The sequence below is a fragment of the Homo sapiens genome, chromosome 3, assembly GCF_000001405.40.
Source record: "Homo sapiens chromosome 3, GRCh38.p14 Primary Assembly".
Classification (NCBI taxonomy): domain Eukaryota; kingdom Metazoa; phylum Chordata; class Mammalia; order Primates; family Hominidae; genus Homo; species Homo sapiens.
The window spans coordinates 123008193-123022995 of NC_000003.12; the positions used below are offsets into that span (position 1 = coordinate 123008193).

General features: G+C 48.8%; 1 protein-coding gene across 15 annotated transcripts in view, besides 2 other annotated features; it reads right to left on the reverse strand.

Annotated features, from left to right (window-relative positions):
* The window catches only part of SEMA5B (semaphorin 5B), a 119524-nt gene that overhangs the window by 99111 nt on the left and 5610 nt on the right, over positions 1 to 14803 (reverse strand). The gene's annotated exons all lie outside the window — the stretch shown is intronic.
* Positions 12242 to 12907: an enhancer, noted in NCBI's record as "H3K4me1 hESC enhancer chr3:122739281-122739946 (GRCh37/hg19 assembly coordinates)". NCBI's record gives its function as "activates a minimal SCP1, AML or CMV promoter by ChIP-STARR-seq in naive and primed H9 embryonic stem cells {active_cell/tissue: H9 hESC(naive and primed)}" and the evidence as "EXISTENCE:reporter gene assay evidence [ECO:0000049][PMID:30033119]".
* Positions 12908 to 13572: an enhancer, noted in NCBI's record as "NANOG-H3K4me1 hESC enhancer chr3:122739947-122740611 (GRCh37/hg19 assembly coordinates)". NCBI's record gives its function as "activates a minimal SCP1, AML or CMV promoter by ChIP-STARR-seq in primed H9 embryonic stem cells {active_cell/tissue: H9 hESC(primed)}" and the evidence as "EXISTENCE:reporter gene assay evidence [ECO:0000049][PMID:30033119]".

The window sequence follows — 14803 nt, forward strand, 5'->3', positions numbered from 1 at the left end:
ATCTCAACTTGGTAAAAATCACTTGCAACTTATCCACCTATATGTTAACATCTAGCTTCATAAGGTCTGGCCTCTAATCAATAATAAACTGAGAATCGAACACTGTTTTTTCTATCTCCCCTGCTTAGAATATAAACTCCATGGGGACAGGGTTCTTGTCAGTACTTTTCCATTCTAAGGCAGTGGAAGAGTATTCGGCACCTGTAGATGCACAGTGGGTATTTGTTAAAGGATTATTTGAAGGCACTCCAGAGTTCAGGGCCCAGGAGAAGGGGCCTCGTGCATCAGGTATGGCTGGATATAGCCCTGATGGGTGGGTGGGATCTGAATGGGAGGAGAGGAGAGTGGAGGCAGAGGAGAGAGTGAGGACGAGGTGTGGAGGAGAGTCAGGAGGAAGCTGGGGAAGGACAGGGTTTTGAGAAGATGTCAACAATGTCAAATTTGGGGATTACACACATGCAGTAGGTGGGGGCTACGCATTCAAAATCTTGGCAGACAAGAAAAAGCATAGACAATCCAGGAGCCAGCTGAGTTAGGTGCAGGTTTCTGGAGAAGGACCAAATTGGGCCCATTTGAAGACAGGGGGAGAGAGGCATGGCTATCCAAGCAGCAGGTAGGTGTCAACCAACAGTGGCAGGGGTTTTCCCTGGGCTCAGGGTTCAGGAGCTGAGGGGCACAGAGGCCTGCAGCTGGAGCTGGGGGGCTGCAGCTGCCCAGGGCTGGGTGTCACCAAAGGACAGCCCAAAGAGCAGTGCCCTGCCTCCCACCACAAGTGCACCTTTGATGTGGCTCAGGCTGCTGGGCAGAGGAAACCCGAGCTTCCCAGAGCAGCCTGCTCCATCAATGCCACCCAGTTTTCAACGAGGCTGCATAAGACACGGACCCGGTGGACCCGTGGCAGGGCAATTTCTTTATGGACAGAGCGGCTGGCAGGAAATCAAGGCTCAGTGTTTCAGCCTGAGATGAAAGGGAGCTTTTACTCAGACTCCTATCAATGCACCCACACTCCACTCTCCACTCTCTGGAGAGGGGTTCTCAGTGCAGGGAGCGGGGGTTGAGACTTCCCTACTTTCTTCTCCATTCCTCACTTCCTTCTGGGGAGGAACTCACAGTGGGGGTGTCTTTAGGCGAGGGGACTGTGGGTAAGGGAAGGGTCTGTGTTAGGTTTTAATTATCTAAGCTTCTTCTGTGGGATGAGGGAGGGTCCTGTGAACACATCAGGGATAAACACAGAGAGTATAAAATGTGTTCCCCCAAGCCTTGCACATCGTGCCCACCCACCACTGTATTTAAAGATTTACTCCCTCCGTTCACATGTATGTGTGTGTGTGTATGTGTGTCTGTGTGTGTGTGTATGAGAGTGAGAGAAAAAAAGAGAAAGAAAAAGAAAGACAATGCTATTCCATGGTTGCTCCACACAGCACCCAGCCAGTGTCCCTTGCTCCATTTCCAGCCACTGAGGCTTATCAAGTGACCTTGCAATCCTGCAGGGGTTCCGGACCTCTGGTCCTCACCCTACAGTGGAAACAGAAAATCAAGGATCTTCTTTTTGAGAAGATTCTCCATCCAGGCTTAGAAAGAAAGATATAGGAGGGGAAAACTGGGATGTCTCATGGCTTTAGCTCTCTCTTTAACAATAACTCGACACACATTTACTGAGGCCTTGGTGCCTGGCTTTGGGCTGGGCAAAGAGACACAAAGACAAATGCTGCTCTGTCTCTGCCCTGGGAAATGAAGCTCATAGCAGGGAGACGGCATGGTGATGCAGTACAGGCAGCACCAGGAGCTGAAGACAAAGGCAGGAAAAGGTGCCTGATTCACCCGGGAGCCCTAAAAAATATGCAGATGCCCAAGCTCCTCGCTGGATGAACTGAGTCCCTTTTTGATGGTGGGGCCTGGAGGACCGGAGGTGGCTGGCTCTGGATGGGTGAGAGGCGGGGAGTGCCTTCAGGAAGTTTGGAACCCCAGGGCTCAGGGCCAGGTCCTGACACCCCATAATACCCCAGCATGCTCACACCAACAGCAGAGGCCATGTGGTAGGATGGGACAAATCATGGAATTTGGAATTGGAAGACAAGGGTTTAAAATTGCCTCTTAGTAGATGTATGACCTTGGTCATACCCTTTCTGGAGAATTTCTTCACCTCTAAAATGGGTATAACAGTACCAAACTCAGAACTTAGTAATTGTAAGAATTAAGTGAGATAATGTACAGAAGGCATTAAAACAGTGTCTGGCATGGAGTTCAGGAAAGGGAAGTTGTGGCTTCTGGAAGAAGTAAATGAGGATGCAGATGTCCTTCAACAACAGCGAAGTGGTCCGTTAAAAAATGGTGTCGGCTGGACGCAGTGCCTCACACCTGCAATCCCAGCACTTTGGGAGGCTGAGGCAGGCAGATCACAAGGTCAAGACATGGAGACCTTCCTGGCCAACATGGTGAAACCCCATCTCTACTAAAAATACAAAAAATTAGCTGGGCATGGTGGCATGCGCCTGTAGTCCCAGCTACTCAGGAGGCTGAGGCAGGAGGATCACTTGAACCCGGGAGGTGGAGGTTGCAGTGAGCTGAGATTGCGCCACTGCACTCTGGCCTGGTGACAGAGTGAGTCTCCATCTCAAAAAAAAAAAAAAAAAAAAAAGGTTTCTCTCAATATCATCATCATTTAGCCCAGAGCAGGTGAGGGTGTATTATCTGGGACTCACCACCCCAAACCTCTACAGCAAATAGCGGGTGTGAATCAGGCTGAACATGTGGGCTGACAGCCACGGGCTCTCTCACTGAGGCCAGGACATTTCTGTGAAGATGGGGGCAGACAGCCCGTCCTGGGAGCCTACTCTCAAGTGGATAGGCCCAAAGGCCATTCTTGAGCACACAGAAGTCAGGGGAGATGTACAGCAAGCCCCTCCTCTCATGTAACAGCTGAGCCCCTTCCCCCCAAAGCTGCCATCTCACGACCCTCACTCTCCCACCCCCATCAGAGCGGCAGAGGAATGGACAGAGTGTGTCTTGGGGTCGAAGACTTAGCAACCAGAGCCTTGGTTTCCCTATTCATGAGATGAAGGAACAGCTCTTGGGATGGCCCCCTGGGGATTAGGGAGCCTGTGTTTAGAAAACAGAATGCCTGTCACATCGATCATCCAAGACATGGTCACCCCATTCAGCCTCTGTGTCACACCTGAGCAAGGTCAGGGTTGTGCAGTTCAGTGTAGGAGACTGTGGGGCAGCCGGGGCTCGTCCCAGGCCTTGATTTACCCACATTCCCTGTGCATATGGAAAGATCTGAGATGGAATCTGGGGTTTTGCCCAAGAAGGGGGAAATCCTGAATTCAGGCCCAGCTGGAAGGTGGGGTTTCCCCAGGACAGCAGACTCTGCCCCTGGGCCTCTGTGAAATGAAGCCCTGCCCAGCACACACATGCACAGAGCTTGCAACCCAAGGTTAATGCCTGCATCCTGGGAGCTCAGAAAGTGAGCCCAGGACACACGCTCCTAACAGAGGAACAGGCACCAAGGCTGCTATCCCAGAGAGGCCACAAGAGAGGGACAGCCTGGGAACCAGTACAGGGCTAGAGAGAGGAGGAGGCCATGGCAATGCTGGTTGAGAAAGCACCTCCTGTACTGAAGGATAGAGTGGCTTCCCATCACCTCTCCAGGACACAGAATGAGCCAGAAACCCCGCTCTGGGGCTCCCAGCAAGACAGCGCTTCTGAACAACATCCCTGCAGGAAACTCTGCCTCCTCGAATTGCTTGACCCTCCTGGTTTCCAATCTCCCTCCAACACCACATGCATTTCCCGGGCTCTGTCTGGCACTGTGCTCCTCAGGAGCCACAGGAGAGGCCCAGTCACGTGGAAAGAGCACACTTTGGCTTCGCCGTGGCCTAGGTTCAAATCCTGCCTCTACCTCTATATAGTTGTGAGATGTTAGGCAAGTTTCTTAACCTCTCTGAGGTCTTTTCCTCGTGTGTAAACCGGGGCTCATCGCTCCTTCAGAGGCCTTTATGAGGACTTCGGTGAGAGACTGGCCTGTAGTAAGTCCTCATACATGGTAGTTGTTATTTGAGAATACGAAGCAGATCCCATCAGAATCCCTGGGGCTGAAGGCTTTCACCCACCCCTAAGGCTTCTTATGCCTTCTCCCCCATGTTCTCCCAATCCCTACCATCATTTTCCTCTGTGCCCCTGGAGGAGGCCACAGCACCAAACCAGGCCAAGATTCATCCTAGGTTAAGAAGATTTCCCCAGCAGGTGACCAGGGCAAAGCCATAGGCATGGCCCCTCCGTCCCTACCCCACCTAGGCCCCAGGTCTGTATGGAGCCATCCTCCCCGGTCCTACCCTTTCAAGGAGAGGCATTCCTGAAGTAGAAACCGCTGCAGACAGTTAGCCCAGTGTGACAATCTCTGAACAATCCTTCCTCCCAGCAGGACTGGGCTGTGAAGTGTAATTAAAGCCACAGGTTAATTAGGTGTGCAGCCATCTTGCCAAGAGGAGCACCTCACCTCCTCTCATCATGCATCCAGAGGTTCAGGGCTGCAGGAGGCAAGAAGGGGATCCACACTACCTTCCCCCCTCCTCTTCCTCCTTCATCCTTCCACCCCAGTCCTAGAGCTCTCCAGCCAGGCCACACCAGAATTGCCTTCCATCAGCTGTAGTCTAACTGATGACATCATTTCTTCTACAGATGGATGGAGGGAGTGGAGAGAACAGACCTGGTTGTGATTAGGACTTCATGGAAGGTGCCTGGAGAGGTGTCCTTAGAGACAGACAGAGCCTTGAGTTGCCTCCCGCCTCCAACCCAACCATGAGGAGGAGACAGTGTAAGGACTGTTTTCAGTGCAGGGTCCTGCATAATGGAGCCAGGGATGGAGCCAATGCAATGGATGAAGGAAAAGCGGGAATGAAAAGAACACACCGGTCAGACACAGGAGAGAGTTGGGAGGCACTGGCTCAAATGGCTAGGAAGCCTGGGATTGGCTTACTAGTTATCTCATACCTTCCTATCTCAGCCTGGCTCAGTCATGCCATCTGTAAAATGGGGGTGCTGTGAGGAATTTCATGAGCTAAAACACATGCAGCTTTTAAAACAGGCTGCTACAGTGTAAGCTCTCAGGAAACCAGGAAATCCTCACAACACCCGCCCGCTTCTGCAAACTGCTGAGTCCTGGGCTCCAGCTCGCTAGTCCACTCTGCAAAAGGACCGGTTCACTTGGTACCTTGAGGTCCCAGGTACTTTTCCAGGTGACCTGCTATACAGAAAGGAACTTGTGTCATTCAATTCCCATGACAACCTTCTGAAGTAGGTATGATGGCCATTTTACATATGAGGAAACTGAGCCTTGGAGAGGAGAAATAATTTGCCCAAAGGCCACTCTAACAGTAAATGGCAAAGCAGGTGTTGAGACCCAGTCTGTGTGGCTCCCGGCTTTTCCTCCCACTCCAAGCTGGCTTCCAAGCCCCACTCCTCAGCAGAGTGTCTGAGGCCCTCACATCTAGCTCTCTTCCCTGCTCCCAATCTAGCCAGATTCACGCATTCCCATCCAGCCTCTGGAAGCACACACCCCATCTTCACTTATGTGCTTTCCCCACGGAGTCAAAGAGCCAGAATAGAAAGGAGAGAGGGAAAGGCTTCAGGGAAGAGGGGAGCTGGAGGGTAAAGGATGCTGACGGGGAACAAGGCTGCTGCTCATCGATCTGGGAGGCTTCTCTGGCTCATCCTACAGCTGTCTCCAGCTTGGCTTCTGTCTTCCCCATTCCACAGGAAGGAAACGGTGAGAGGAGCTTTGGGCACAGGAGGGCCAAGCCGGAGGCTGGTGAGAGGCCTACAGAAGCTCCAGCTGCTCTGAATGTGTTCAAGCCACTTGGCCGGGACACACATCTAGGGAACAGGGAACATGCAAATGAGGCTCAGAACAGCTGTAGATTCCTGATCTCATGGGAATCCTGACAGGATCCTGGCAAGCACTAGGGCGGCTGGGAGGCCTCCAGTGGGCCACACAGTCCTCACTACCAGAAAGGGGTCTGAGGTGGGTTTTGCAAACCACAGAGATGAACTCAATGTGCCTCCTGCAGAGACTCTAAACGAAGGCTAGTGGGCATTTGAGAAGGGCAGCTGAGATCACCAGTAGACAGCGTGTGTTTGGTAGCAAAGTCCTGTCAGGCAAAGCGCATCTCCTCCACTGACAGGAGATGTTGGTAGACAAGGGAAATGGGGTTTGCCCATCAAGCAGATCTTAAATGAAACATCCGACAAGCTCTTCATGAAATCATTGTGTATAAGCTAGAAAGAGGAAGCTGGAAGGCAGTAGCATTAGTGGGACATATAGCTGGTTGCACAGTTGTACCCCAAGGGGGCTTAGCAATGGATCCTGGCCGCCTGCAGGGAAGTGTCCAGGGGCCATGCTGCAGAGCTCCAACCCACACCACCCCATTCAACCTCTTAGCAAATCCTTGGATCAATATACAAGAAGCACTTGAAGCTGAGAGCAATAGCACATACGTTGGCTGACAGAGGCAGGATCCGAAATATCTTCATCAGCTGGAAAGGTTTTTTCAAGATAAAATAAATTAGGGAAAAATGTAGTCTCGAAACAGGAGGTCAAAAAGCTGCAGCACTGTTGTAGGATGAACCGTGTCCCCCCACAAAGCTCACAGGTTGAAGTTTTAACCCCCTGTATGTCAGATTATTGCCTTATTTGGAAATAGGATTGTTGCAGATGTAGTTAGATGAAGTCACACTGGAGGGTGGGCCCCAACCCAATATGACTGGTGTCCTTATAAAAAGGAAAAATTTGGTGACACACACGCACACAGGGAGAACATGTTGCAAAGATGAAGGCAGAAATTATATTGATGCTTCTATAAAACAAGAAACACCAAAGAATGCCAGCAAACCACCGGAAGCCAGGAGGGAAGCACGGAGCAGATCTTCTGTCATATCCCTCAGAAGGAGCTCTGCCCACACCTTGATCTCAGACTTCTGGCCTCCAGGACTGGAAGACAATAAGTTTCTGTTGTTAAGCCCCTCAGTGTGGGGTGTTTTGTTACAGCTGCCCTAGAAAACTAATACAAACACAAAGGTAAAATTGGGAAGATGTGGCTGAGTGCGTTATGTTAAAGAGACCCTGGGGTGCTGGTTGGCTGTAAGCTCAGTCGAAATCAGCAGTGCTGTGTGGCTGCTAAAGACAGCCAGATCAGAGTTGAGGCTATGTTAACAGGAGATGCACTAGCTAAGCATACGGGTATGCTGGTCAGGCCTCACCTGGAGGGCCATCTTTGGTCCTGGAGACCTCAACTGTAGAGAAGTGGGAGATCTTCAGAGTCCTATGCCCAGAGATGAAGAGACAAGCCAGAGGAGGACTGCTGAACTGGGGAAGAGGTGGCAGGCTCATCAACTTCCAATGTTTGAAGAACTGTGGCATGGAAGAGGGATGAACACCCAGCCACAGCGAGAAGAGATGGAACCCACAGGGAGAGAAACAGACTTCAGAGAAATAAAATAATTATATTAGGCATTGTCACCCAAAACATCAAATGGGCCGTCTCATGGGCACCTGAGCTCTCTGTCTCTGAGAAACTCAAGACTCCACCTGCTGACCACTCAGTAGAGACTTGTGCCAAAGACTCAGGCAACCTGCAGCTCCAAAGAGGGTCCACTCACATTCCCAGCCTGGCTTGACACCAGCAACTTGAGATTCTTACCTATTTAAAGTTAGAGGCCACCATGCGATGTCTGGGCCTCAAGACTGTTCATCTATGGCTTCGGCAGATTAAACTGTGTGCTGACACAGGGACTCATAGGCCTCAGAAGATCAGGTTTGGTGAGACCCAGGTCCACTGGAGGGAAGAACCTGCTCATGCTCACAGAATAGGGTCCCAGGAGGATGAGGGGTGGGAAGGAAAGCTGCCCTGACTCTCCACTGTCCAGGGAGTGAGGGAGCTGGCAGCCCAAGCCTTAATTGATCCCTAACTTGAGGGAGCCCCACATTGGTGTGTGCTGTGAGGGGACACAGAGGAACCTACACCCAGACCTCTCTTTGAGGGGCTCAGGGAAAACTCACTGGGAAGACAGTATTCTGTAGGAAAGGCAACTGTGATGTCGGTAAGAAGATGCAGTGATCCCTAAGTATACCTGGGGGACCAGTCCCAGGACCTCCTGCAAATTCTCAAATGCACAAATGTTCAAGTTCCTTATATAAAATGGTGTAGTGTTTGCCTATAACCTACACACATCCTCCTGTATACTTTAAATCATCACTTAATTACTTGTAACACCTAATACAACGTAAGTACTACGTAAATAGTTGTTATACTGTGTTGTTTAGGGAATAATTACAAGAAAAAAGTCTCTGTACATGTTTAGCATAGATACATTTAAAAATTTAATTTAATTTAATTTTTTTTAGAGACAGGATCTCATTCTGTCACCCAGGCTAGAGTGCAGTGATGCTATCACAGTTCATTGCAGCCTTGAGCTCCTGGGCTCAAGCAATCCTCCTGCCTCAGCCTCCCAAGCAGCCAGGACTACAGGTGCATAACACCATACCTGGCTAATTTAAAAAACCCTTTTTTTGTAGAGGTAGGGAGAGCCTTGCTGTTGTTCTGGCTAGTCTCATAATCCTGGCCTAAAGTGATTCTCTGGCTTCAGCCTCCCAAAACACTGGGATTACCAGTGTGAGCCACTGTGCCTGGCCTCAGGTGCATTTTTTTTTTTTTTTTTTTTTGAGACGCAGTCACTTTGTCACCCAGGCTGAAGTGCAGTGGCGCGATCTCGGCTCACTGCAAGCTCCACCTCCCAGGTTCACGCCATTCTCCTGCCTCAGCCTCCTGAGTAGCTGGGACTACAGGCACCCACCACCACGCCCGGCTAATTTTTTGTATTTTTAGTGGAGATGGGGTTTCACTGTTAGCCAGGATGGTCTTGATATCCTGACCTCTGATCTGCCCGCCTCAGCCTCCCAAAGTGCTGGGATTACAGGCATGAGCCCCCGCGCCTGGCCCAGATGCATTTTTTAAAAATATTTTCAATCCAAGTTTGGTTGAATCCTCACATGGATTCCACAGATACAGAGGGCTGACTGTACTTTCTAGGATTATTAAGTAATGAGCTCATTTAATCTTCCTTTAAACACAGCCCTACCTCATCTTACAGTTAAAAAAAAAAAGAAAAGAATGCTCAGAAAGGGAAAGGAACTTATACAAAACTCACAACCAAAAAGCAGCCACGCTGTGTTTGAAGCCAAGTCTGTCTCATTTTCAAACCCATACTCATTCCAAGGTTCTCTAGTGCTTCCCTAGTAAAGGGTTGCAGGTTGTGAGTTTCAAATAAGCACCACAAGCATCCAGCAACAGAAAGAATGACCTAATGTGGTCTAAAGCAGTGTCTCCAACTGTAGCATGCAACAGAATGACCTGCAGGGCTTTTAACAGCACAGGTTGGCCAGGCGCAGTGGCTCACACCTGTAATCCCAACATTTTGGGAGGACGAGGCAGGTGTTTCACTTGAGGTCAGGAGTTCAAGACCAACCTGGCCAATATGGTGAAACCTCATCTCTTCTAAAAATACAAAAATTAGCCAGATGCAGTGGCGGGTGCCTGTAATCCCAGCTACTTGGGAGGCTGAGGCAGGAGAATCACTTGAAACTGGGAGGCAGAGGTTGCAGTGAGCCAAGACTGCATCACTGCACTCCAGCCTGGGCGACAGAGTGAGTGAGACTCCATCTCAAAAAAAGAAAAAAAAAAAAAAGGATTTTTTGCTGGACCCCAGACCAGCAAAAGGTTGGTTGAACCTTTTTAGTGGGTCTGGGGTGCAGCCCAAGAATTGTTGCATTCTTAACGAGTTCTGGTGGCACTAATGCCACGAGTCAGGGGCTTCGCTTTGAGAATTCCTGCTCTAAAGAAATCAGGAAAGGAAGTGGTGTTCCAGCCTCAGAGCCGCAAAGACATAGAGGTACACTGGTTGGATGACCATCTGTTCCCAGGGCAGGAGTCCTGCAAAAACCAGGCAGCAGAACTGCTGGCCAGTGCTGAAACAGTTTACTGTTTACCCATCTGTTTACCCATCGGGTTGGGAAGATGCTCATTCTAGAAAACCTAGGTTCCTGTACTTTTCACTCTGGGCTCTTCTGGTTCTCCCGAGCTGAAGAGTATGTTTTTCCATAGGAAGTCCTGCTTCTTTTGTGGTTGACCACAGTCACCCTCAGCGTTTTCTCCCTGTCTTAACAGAGGAGCTTCTTTCACCAGACCTTTTGTGGCTAGGCTTCCCAACCTCCTCCTGACACCAGATGCCCTCCACGAAGCACACTTGAGTTGGGCAGGGTCCCCTCTCAAATCCATATTCATAAATAAGCACAGAATGACCAGGAAGAACCCAATCGGGACCCCACATTTCTCTTAGCTCCATTTAAGATGGTGTTGTTTTGAGCCACCCCATCACCTTGTCGGCTCTGATGAAGCCTATGCACAATTAAACCCCTCAGATCTTTTTCTCAGGACCTCAACCAAATCAGGTCTGTCCCCAACATCCAATTCTCCACTTTAAACAGTATCTGATTTCCAGTAGAAGTCAGACTGCCTATCCCCTGTCATGACTATAGCATGCCTCCCTGACAGCCTTATATTCCATACTGGGAAAGTAGCACCCAAATTCTTCCAACTGGCTGGAGAAGCTGTAATAGGAATACGTCATAACTTGGACCTGCTCAGCTGCAAGGCATGCTGGAATCTTGGCAGCTGGTCAGTGAGGAGCAAGAAAAGTTTTCTAGCATGGGTTACCTGGATAAAGGGATGAGGACATGACCCAGGAAGTAAAAAGGAAAGGGGGGCATTGATGAATAGCATCCCCACTCTACTGCTATTTGTACTGAGAAATGCCCCTCTTCTGCTGGAGAAAGACACAGCATATGTCCATGGGATGCTGAGGGAATATTTGTGAACAACTTGTTGACAACAAGCCAAGAGTTAACACCAAGAGGATTGAGAAAAGCCTATGTAGTGGTTAAATGTGTAGGCTCTGGGTTTAAATCCCAGGTCTACTACTTATTAGCTGTGTGACCTTGGGCAAATCATTTTATTTCTCAAGGTTTCAGTTTCCTCATGAGGAAAGTGGAGATAAAAATAATATGTGGGCCGGGCACAGTAGCTCATGCTTGTAATTCCAGCACTTTGGGAGGCCAAGGGAGGTAGATCACTTGAGCCCAGGAGTCTGAGACAAGCCTGGGTAGAAACCCCGTCTCTACATGAAACACAAAAGTTAGTCAGGCATGGTGATGCATGCATTTGGTCCCAGCTACTTGGGAGGTTGAGATGGGAGGATGGCTTAAGCATGGGAGGGTGAGCCTGCAGTGAGCTGTGATTGCACCATTACACTCCGGCCTGGGTGACAGAGTAAGATCCTGTCTCAAATAAATTAATAAATCTTTTTTTAAATGTGTACATAAGGCACCTGAGGATTAAAAGAGATAATGCACATAAAAAGTTTACCAGGCCGTTGTATAGTAACAACTGTATAAACCACAGCTGTTTTTACGGAACACTAGCTGGAAGGCATTGAGTGTTATGGTTCAGGGGCTGGAGGTACGAAGATGAAAGGGCTGAGCAGGTGAAAGGAAAAACAAGGATGCTGGAGGTGGGGGCAAGGGAGCCTAGGAGTTCCTATGAAGGGAGAGGCAGCATTCTGTGGAACTGATCTGGAGGCAGAGCCTAGGACCAAGGCTAGGTCAAGGGATTCTGACCTCAAATCAGGGACAGGGAAGCAGTCAGCGCGAAGCCTCAGAGGAGAGCAGTGAAAAGTGTTTCTTAAACTCTGAATCCAAAAACTTTTTATTGCTGTAGGAAGTCAGTCAAAAACGGTCTAAATGGTCCATGTGAAAAAGCATCAATATTCCACTTCTAGAAATCTGTTCTGAGGAAATAATCATTGATAGGCACAAAGATTAATGTGCAAGGATGTTCACTGCAGCATTATTTATAATAGTGAAAAATGGTTTACAATTTAAATGTCCAACCACGGGGGGTTTGTTAAATAAATTATGGCGCATCCGTATGATGGAATACCAGGCAGCCATTATAAAGCCCATCTTAGTAGGATACTTAGGAAGGGGGAAATTATCACAATATGCTGTTAAGTGAAAAGGCTGGTTACAAAAAGTACAATCACAATTTGGTTACATACCTATCTAGACGAAACATACAAAAATGTTGAATTAATATTCATTACTTTTGTAAATGCTTTTTAAGAAAAAAATGACCAAAAGGAAGTAACCAGACAGGAGCTCTCACAATCAGCTTATAATAGAAAGTCATTAAATTCAGAACACAAACAGTAGCTATGATCTGGATGCCAGGAGCTATAGCTGGTGCCCATTAGAAAGGACCTGGCTGTTTAGAAGGGTTGAGGGCTAAGAGGTTCTGCATGCCATTGGCATGAGGCCAGGTAGAGCCTAGAAAAGAAGATTTAGGTCAGTGGCTCTCAACCATGGCTGCCTATTCGAAGCTCAAAAAAATACCAGTGCCCAGGCTCCCCCCGCAGAAATCCTATCTTAATTAAGGTCTAGGATAGGGCTGGTCAAGTCTGTATTTTTTAAAGCTCTGCAGGTGGTTTTTACGGAAGCCAGTGAATTATGTGTTGAGCTGGACCAAGCCACGGTTACCTGTATACAGAGGTAGACTTGAGGCTGTTCACCCCACTTCACAGCCCTCTTCTCTCTGGACAGGGCCCAGCAGGAAAGTGAGGAAAGTCTCACTCTGGAACCTGGAGAGCTGTTGAAAGGGAGCATGTGCCCCAAGGCACCTGGTCTATGTAGAAACATTACCCTCAGCCTTGGGGACATTCATGTAAGTGCTCTTTAGACCTTGCCTGTTTGGAGCTTTTACCACAAGGACACTGCTCTACACTTAGACTCCTGATGGGACCTAGGGTATCCCTGATGCCAAACACTGAAAGTCCAGGCTCTACCAAAGGAGGAAGGAAAGAAAGCCCGGATCCCGGGAAATCTGCAGGGGTCTGACCCTGCATCAGCCAGAGCTAGTGGTATTTTCCTCTTCTGTCCTGCTTTCGGGCAGAAATACACACCAACCAACAGGGCAATGTGTAAACCTTAAAAGCAGTCTGCTTTGAGTGGATGAGGCCTCTCAGAGAGGGCTCCTAGCTTCCCCCAGGCGCCTTGAGGGAAGAGAAGCAGAGGGAGCTGGCTGCTAGAAACAAAAGTTTGTATGAAATGATAAGATCTGCCCCAGCTACTCACTACAGATATAGAGTTACTCAAGGCACCGAAAGCAGGGAAAGAAGAGGCCTGAGTTGGGTGCTTCACACACTTGTCCCTGAATAATTAAGAGCCAACTGCAGCTCTTTTGTATTCCTAACAGGGGGGCTCTTGGGAGGCCTTCCGGACAATGGCTAGGGCAGTAGGGAGGGAGCTATGGCTCAGGTAGACCAGTGGGACTGGCAAATAGGGATGGATCTAAATTGTTACCCTGCAAGCCATTTCCCTAAAGTTGCCTCCCAGGGCGGGCTTACATCAGCTCTGGCAGGGAACGAAACTGCGGACAGAACTGCGGTTAATCCAATGGTCAGCCGGTAACACACAGATTTGGAATACCTTTCATCTACATTTATATGTGCATATATGTATGTATGTTTATATGCACATGTATGCCTCAATATACAGCAGAGTTACCTTCCAGATGATATTTGGCTCAGGCTGAGGCAAAAAGGAAAATGCATTCTCTGAAGATGCAGTGACTGGCAGTCGGTCAGATGGGTTAACAACAGGGGGGTTGGATGGTAACTGGAAACTATCCTGAGACTCACATTCCCCACAAAGAATCCACAGAAAAGTCAACGAGCCACTCCTGGAAAATCAAGAAGCGACTGCAATATCCATTCAAAACCACTGACTTGAGGGCCAGAAAGGGCTTTAAGATTCTTCTGAACACCTCCCTTTCACAGATGAAGAACCCAGTGGTTTGGCAGAGGTGCTCAAGCAGAAAAGCCTCCCTCATTTCTAACCCAGCCTCCCCACTCTGTAACTGAAACCTGTAATTTGATCCTCAGGGGACTGGCAGGACAGATGGTCACTAAACATCCTTCAAGTACCAACCTTTCCCATCACAGAAGATGCTGGCCAGGACATTTCTGGTTCAAATGAAAGATACTCTGATAATATCGACAAGGCTTCAAATTCAAACAAGTTCCATGCGCAAGTCTGATTAAGTCATCCTTATTAAACGCAGAACAATGAGGACAGTGTCATGGCGGGATTCAGCACATACAGCATTGCCTTTAAAGCTTTCATGTACTCAGGGAAAGCCCGATGGAATCCTTGTCCTTCTATTTCAAGTCAGAGAGTGGAGGAGAATCAGCAGACCAACTGCCAAGAAGAGAGCTCAAGGTTAAACTCTCCTGACCCAGTCCCCATCCCAGAGGTCCCTCCTTCTGCTTTCTCTCCTGTGCCCAGCAGCAAATTGGACAGAAAACCATCTTCATTTTTTATTCCACTTTGAAGCCACCAAGTCGAATAATTTCTCACTGGTGAGTCCCCCACTCAAATCAGGACTGAGAGGCCATTCTGCAAGGTTTGGGTTTCATCTCTCATGCTCACTAAAACAGAAGGGAAGGGAAGTATCATGGCAGAGCCACACAACATTCAGCACCCTTCTGTCCCTTTCCTTTCAGAACTCGACTCTCAGCTGGAACTTCTCCCTGCCATTTTCTAGCATTCAAGCTGGTTATAAAGGAAATTTCTTCAGAAGGAGAGTATTGGAGGAGATCCATCTGAAATAGAGAATGGCATACACGAAGATCCTGT